At 38.0% G+C, this 7640-nt stretch overlaps 1 annotated feature.

Annotated features, from left to right (window-relative positions):
* Positions 292-4987: an enhancer, noted in NCBI's record as "VISTA enhancer hs1447". NCBI's record gives its function as "enhancer in: limb[5/6]" and the evidence as "EXISTENCE:transgenic organism evidence [ECO:0001131][PMID:17130149]".

Below are 7640 nucleotides of genomic sequence, written 5' to 3'. Positions count from 1 at the left end.
TACCTTTTCCCCTTGGAAGAAATCCCTTCTGGCTCTGAGCTGATCCCAACTGAAGAATGGAGTAGTGCAAGCAAGGTGTTTTCTACACAGCCATCTTTGGTGTTTGTGCTTCACTGAGTTTCTGCTACCTCTTTGCTGTACTCCCGAGCTCTCTCCACAATTTCATTGGTATATGGTTATTAGTTGTTTTTGTGGGGGAGATGAAGATTGGCACCTTCTAGTCTGCCATTCTGCTGGTGCTACTCTCTAATAGGCTTTTAAGTGATAAATTTAACATGAATTAAAACTTAGTCAAGGAATGAATTGCCTACAATGAAGTATTTTTGAATCTTTCAAATAACCAAGTCATCTTTGGTTGTTTGGTGTCTTTTCTTTAGCTCACATTCTTCCATCCTGCCTACCCTTCTGAAAGTCTGACATTGATGAAGTCTCCTGAGCATCAGTGCACCTGGTATCTACCATGACAACACTGATGACAATGCTAAAAGATTTTCCAAATCCGCAGACCCTCAGGTTGCCTGAGAGATACTGCAATTCCATCAGTTTTCACCAAATCAAAGCTGTGCTGTGTTGTCGGCACAAAGGAGGAGCCTGTACTCTCCCTTCTCCGTATCACACCTTATCACCTGGGTAATACCATTCGCCTTTGTTTCCTTGGGGAAACAGCTTCTTTACCTCTTTCCTAAAATCCCATCTATTCCAAGGTACAAGGCCAGGAACCAAGACAAAGTTATACCTTATTCCAATTAACCCAATTATAGTTATACCCAATGATCCCATTTAAAGAGCACCCTGGCAAGCAATGTTCATCTGAACTATTTCTTGTTCCACATACAATGAATGTAGAAAAATGGATACCTAAGCTATTAGTCCATTCCTTATCTTCCATGCCCAGATATAAAGGAATCTCTTTAATGATCATCTGCAATACCCACCAACAAATTCATAGGCTGAGTTAGGAATTAATGATGCTCCATTCCCTTGTATCTTTCTGAAAATCTTCTTCAAAGATGGTGAGAACTCTCTACTTCAACACTTACTGTACTGCTACTACTTGTTTGATCATAGCAAAACCATTTTGCTCATAGCCCTCATTTTCTTTCTCCACGCAAGTCACTATCTTTACCTATATTCCAGAGACACAGTGAAGCACAACTAATTGACTCTAGTCAATCTATAGTGAAACAAGTGGCAAGAGAAGCCCAAAAATAAGCATTATGAAAATCTTAAGACTCTAAGCCAGTGAATTAAATAAAGAGGTAAAAGCCTGCATAAGAAAGAGAACTGACCTTCTGAGCTTTTGTCCCTCGGGGAATATTAGTTTTACCTTTTCTGCTAAAATGATGGCAGCTAGGCTGGGAACTTAGGCTAGATTATTTATTTAATGTGACAGCCCCTCCTCTCCTTTCTCTCTCTCCAACCCTTTCCCCATGACCTTTCCAGATTCTTCAAGTTTTTTTTTTTTTATTAAACTTCATCGAAAAATCAGAATTAGGTGAACAGGTATTGAAAACTTGAGTTACCTTTTGTTGCTCTTTGTTTCAAAAAAACGTTTAAATATTTCCCAGATGATCTTTACCTATGGAAATTAACGGCAGCAATTGCAGCCTTTAAAAAATGTTAAATCATCTCACTGATGTTCAGAAAAAACAAAAGTTCTGTAGTTCCAACTGCCTGTGTGGCAGGAGGAAAACTGAATTCTTGAAAAAGTCCTGTTGATTACAGCTTTCTCTTGCTAAAAGACTGATTGCTCAATGGGAAGTGGAAGATCACAAATCTTCCGCTTTTGGAACTAAATGATAATAGAGTTTTAATACCCTAACAAAAATAAAACCTCCTCCTGAGTGAGCTACTCAAACCCTGCATTGCTTGACTAATGTGTTGAGTTAAGTAGGGAGGCCTGCAATGTAGTAATTTCTCCAAGGAGGCTGCAGGGAGAGGAAAGTACATTCCAGACACCTAATCATTTACAATTGAGTTTAATGAGGTAGTAATTTACAGCTTTGGGGGTGGAAGTTTGGAAAGGTCCCTGCCAGAAACTGGACAGACTCTAAAATCCTGGAGTTTAACGAAGGCATTAGAGGGTGGTTTCATACAGCCGAACTTGTGTAATTCCATCTGCTCAGTGCTTGGACAGGAAGTAAATGACAGGGCACTTGGGACCTACATCTGCAAACAACAAGTTTCAGAGATTTTATAAATCCTGCAGTAAAAGGAGAAGAAGAAAAAAGAAAAAAAACGGAGGTGAAAGGGCATAATTATGGAGGATGAGGAAGTACAACAAAGAACGGGCTTTGCAGGTTCTTTTTGGTTTGAAAAATAACATTTTCTAATGTCAAGGCCAGCCTTTGATTATAATTGACAAAACACACTTATCAAGCCTGATATGAAAACAGAAGGTACTGAAGCTTCCTTTTTGGACAGGATTTGGATGAAGGCTACAGAGTAGTTCAGGATCCACTGAACTTACCTGAAGATGCCTTTCCAGTCTTCCAGCAGTATAGCTGTTACCTTCTTGTCATCATTTCTTGGTTTGTAATATACTGGGTTAATTTTGCTTTCTGTTCACTGCTGCTTTTTAAGTACAGCTAGCACATGAAAGGAGTCTGCCTTAAAGAGATGGAAAAAGCTCAAGGCACAATGACATGTTGTAAGGGTAAAAAGTAGCTGCTAGACTGGCCTTAATATTATATGCCAATGATTGACATAAATCGGGATTTGTTTCTTCTCACTTAGGCTGAATGTTCTTCATATGGCACTTTATGTTACCCCTATTTCAACTCTCCCAAGAGGAAGTCTCATACTCCCCAGTTTCCAAATCGTCAAAAACATTCTCCTGTTCATGACCAAGGGTTCTCATTCTTTCCTCCTCTTGTTGATTCTGAATATTGGAAAGAAATGAGGTTAGATCAAAGAGAATAGAGAGGAACCATTACATTTCTGGTCATTAAAGAACATCGATCTAGGTTAAAATTCATCCTTTTGTCAGGATGTTATAAAATATTTTAGAAGGAAATACTGTGTGACTATGTGCTAGGCGGGTAAGTGGTGCTAGCAAGAGAAATCAGATGCATTCATAGTGAGCTATGTTACTTCCTGGGATCTCAATCACAGTCACACTCCTAATCATTGATAACAATGTTTGAACATTTACTCTATGCTAGGTGGTTTACGTGCATTATCTCATTTAATTCTTTCAGTAATCCTATGAAAGAGATTACACTTTTACCTCATTTTACAGATGAGCAGACAGGTGCATAGCAGTTAACAGCTCAAGGTCACTAGGATAGTAGGTACAAGGGAGAATTCAAACTCATCTTTTTGCTCATATATAACTCATAGATCAGAAGAATTAAGCCTACAGTCTTACCTCTTTTGATATATTGCCTTGAGTTTCATATGTTTGGATGTCATAGGAACTTTTAAAAGATTTAGCCAGAGTGATGGTCCTGATGACATCAGAGAAACACTTTTGATTCCTCCGAAAAGCAAAAATGTCTATGATACTTAGACTACTGAGTACAGAAAAAAAGGATTTTTTTTGTATCATACTTTTTAAAACCATAGACCTTAATATAGCTCAAAGAAAAAATGAAATTGGTTTTCAAATGCTTTTCTTGTTTTCCAGAGAAGGAGCTGTTTTCCATGTCTTAAGTGTGAATACATTCTTTTGCTGATTAAAAATCATAAACAAGTTTTTTAGTGTCTCAAGATCTATAGTCTATCTTTTGAAAGTCTGGGAAAAATCTCTACACTGGAATAATAATTATTCTTTGCAAAGCTGTGTATGCCTGTCCACAATGAGAAACACGTGACAAGGTGTTTAGTTATGGTTCCAATCCACGTGAGCTGGGAAGGACTTTCAAGTTAAATAAATCCTCACGTGTGTGACAAAAACAAGATCCAATATATTATACTATTGGTAATGCCAGCAAGGAAATCTGAGAAGAGAAGTGCTAATAAGGGTGGAAAAAATTTGAAATTTTTAATATTAAGCTCTCATTTCTTTCTCTTTCTGGTCTGCAGAATTAATAGCCTGATTATTGTAATTTCATTGGGTACTGCTAGTTTATTTCCAGTTTTGAGAATATTACACTGCTAATCTTAGAAAAACCAGTCTCTAACACGGAAAAAGCAAATTTAGTTACTCACAAAACTGTTTTCTTTCTTTAAAAGATCACAGAACTAATAAAGTAAGCGATCTCCCATCTTCCGGACCAGTGAATACAAGCTTGCATTAGATTGCTGACATCAGATGTTACTTTCATGATGCTGGAGTTGTAGTATGTATTACCTCTCAAATACATTTGGCATGAGTCAAGCATTTAAAAATTAAGTCCATTATTGATTCTTTTTTATCTTTTAGAGAAGCACACTAGTGTCCCATTTATCCAGCATGATTGGGGATTGAGATATTTTATTTAACAGATATTTACCCAGAAATTTTACCTTCTCAAATGCCAGTTTTAAATACTTGTGGCCAGATTTTATGGATATCTTTCTAGACTATATGAGTTATCTGTCTGCCTTCTTAAAAAGAAGATGCTGAATATAACTTCTTCTTATCTTCACAACCTCAGATCTTTGTTCTGAATGAAATTGACTGGTGCTACTCTGTATTCTGTTGCATTGTAGAGTCACTGCTGATGTGTAAAAAGCTACTGAGGTGTGAAGAGCTGTGCTAAGGCTGACTAGACCAGGTCATTTGAGTTCTTGCAAAGGCCTTTGGAAATTGTGTGCGTATATGTGTGGGGGTGTGCTCTCTCTAGTACCATCCTCATAGTTGGTTGCTTCTACTCTCTGTTGCTGGAATACCTCACCCTAAACATGTGGCTCTGAGAGAAGCTGCTAAACTCTGCCTCGGTAAGCTGGGGCTTTGTGACATCTGTTTAGGTCATTTGGAGACTGTGGTTGTTCCATTTCTCATTCTGGATTGTGTAGTAGATATCCGAGACTGCCAGATTACTCACCTCTGAGTAAGCAGGCAATTTCTAATGTTATGCTTATTTTGCAAAATATTAAACAATTTCATACTCTCCATCCCAAATCTTTTTTTTTTAATCTGTTGTAGGCCTTACTTTACTGATGATACTACTATCTCTTTCAATCACACCCATCAGAGGCCCAGGTCATAGCATGGACTTTGGGGCACGTTATTTTAAAGCCCAGTATCTGAGTTTGTATTTCTTTTCCCCAACTTGATAGTTGCATGATCAGAATTAAGTGAACAGATATTGAAAACTTGAGTTACCTTTTGTTGCTCTTTGTTTCAAAAAAAATGTTTAAATATTTCCCAGATGATCTTTACCTATGGAAATTAATGGCAGCAATTGCAGCCTTTAAAAAATGTTAAATCATATATACATTGTTTCTGATAGGATGATCCAATATGTTATCAGTCCTCATCGGGTTAATTTATATATTTAATGTAACTTCAAGCAAAACCCCAACATGAATATTTTGGGCCTATCAAAATTTTTTTTTGGAAGTACAGGAAGTCAAGAATATAGAATAATATGTACGATAAAGATTTTTAGCATTGTTTACACAGAGGTAATTGATACAGTAAATGATCACAAGCTAAAACCCATTTAAAAAATATTTATTGGGTACCTGTTGTGTACCGAAGAGCATTCTGGGCTCTCGGGATAGAGTGCATGGAGTGTACAGCCTAGTTAGTTGACAACAAACGAGCAAGTAAATGTACAGGTGTCAAATGGTGGTAGTGCAGGAGGTGTGTGGGATAGAGTGTAAGTGGTTGAGATGAACTGAAGATGTTTATGAAAGCTGCTTCAGCAGAGTGGTTGGGAGGAAAGCCTGGTAGGAATGCATCCAAGAGAGGGTGGGAAGAGCAGAATTGGCGCCACCATGGATAGGCAAGCTTTTATAGAAGTTTTGTAGTAAAGAAAGGCAGAGATGTGTTATGGTATCTGGGGTAAATGAGGGTTTTGTTTGACCTTCTAGCATTTTTGTATGCTGGTATGAATGACTGAGCAGAGACAGGGAATTGAAGATGCAGGAGAGAGAGGGAACAATTGTTGAAGCAGTGTTGTTGTTGAGTTGGCAAGATGGATGAGATTGACTGCACAAGTGAAGGGTGTGGCCTCAGCTCAGAGGCTAACAGGTCATTCATAGCCCCAGACTGCTAAGAACAAGGCACACATACCAATATATCAGTAGATGTGGTAGCTGGTGTATGTCAATGCCTATTCTGATTGCTTCTGTTTTCTCAGTGAAAAAGGAAGCGGGATTATCATCTGAAAGAGAACACAGGGCGGATGCATGGGATATTTTTTCTTTATTTTTGTTTTTTAGGAGACAATGTCTTGCTCTGTTGGTCAGGCTGGAGAGCAGTGGCCCAATCATTGCACTGCAGCCTCGAACTCCTCAGCTCAAGTGATCCTCTTGCCCTCAGCCCCCCAAGTAGCTCGGACTACAGGTATGCACCACTATACTTGGCTAATTTTTAATTTTTTTTGTAGAGACAGGGTTTTGCTATGTTGCTCAGGCTGGTCTCAAACTCCTAGCCTCAAGTGATCCTTCCACTTCAGCCTCCCAAAGTGCTGGGATTATAGAGACGAGCTACTGTGCCAGGCCAACATAGGCTAGGTGAGGAGAGAAAAAAGGCACAAACTGGTCATCTTAGACATTGAGTGAATGAACTGAAAAAATACAGTTGAATTGCCAGGAGGCTCTAAGGGCCCATTTGAGATGCGTGATCATCAATGTAAAACTTGATCAGTTTCTTTTTATGGAACATACTTACCCTATTTTTCTGCCTTTTATGAAGGATTATCATATCGTCATTGCCTCTGGGAAGCACTGGATATTTCTGCCTCCATCCCCTCCTCCCATTCATGCTTCTCAGTTTCTTTCCCCTGTTCCTTCATTCCTGGGAAAGAAATTACTGGATTTCCCTTTTGACTTTCTGGAACATCTTACACACATCTTTATCATAACACTCTTAAATAAACTAATTATTTCTTTACATTTCTGCTTTTATACTTACCCTCATTGTGCATGAGTTTCTATTTCAGGTCCCTAGTATAATATCTTCATATTATAGATTTTTAGGTAAATGTTTACCGAATGAAAGAAGGAAGGAAAAATATAAGTTCTACCTGTTATTTCTGTATATACAGTTCTTATAGATGGCCTCTTTCTGGTATTCAAAGATTAAAAATCAAATCACCCTTCACTTTGTATCTCTAGAGACTGGCTAGCAGTGATTTTTCTTTGACTTTATTTTGGAGATTCCATTTATTTGTTATTTGTTATTTTTCTTCTGGTGTCTAAATGATGGAGAATATTTCTTGGCACCACTTTAATAAGACAAAGTTTAAAAAAGATTTATTTTCTAACACATGTTTCCCTTTCACATAAGGGCAAATTACATAAAACATTTCTAGGTCAATCAAGGCAACTGAGAAGTTTCTATTTTGACCACAGATGAGGCAGTTTGCTGTGGGGATGGCTGGAGGCACACAGAGGTTCCTGAAGCCAGTTGGGGCGGCTGTAATTGATTTCAGATGTGCCTGAATAATGCTGAAGATAAATGTCCCAGAGGTAGATTATTGGAGAGCATTTTAGCTGTTTCTAATAAAATTTTCTTTAAAATTCCAAGATTTTTTTTTCTACAG

This window comes from Homo sapiens, chromosome 9 (genome assembly GCF_000001405.40).
Source record: "Homo sapiens chromosome 9, GRCh38.p14 Primary Assembly".
Classification (NCBI taxonomy): Eukaryota; Metazoa; Chordata; class Mammalia; order Primates; family Hominidae; genus Homo; species Homo sapiens.
Note: the sequence above shows the minus strand (reverse complement) of the source record. Positions and strands in the feature narration are given on the sequence as shown.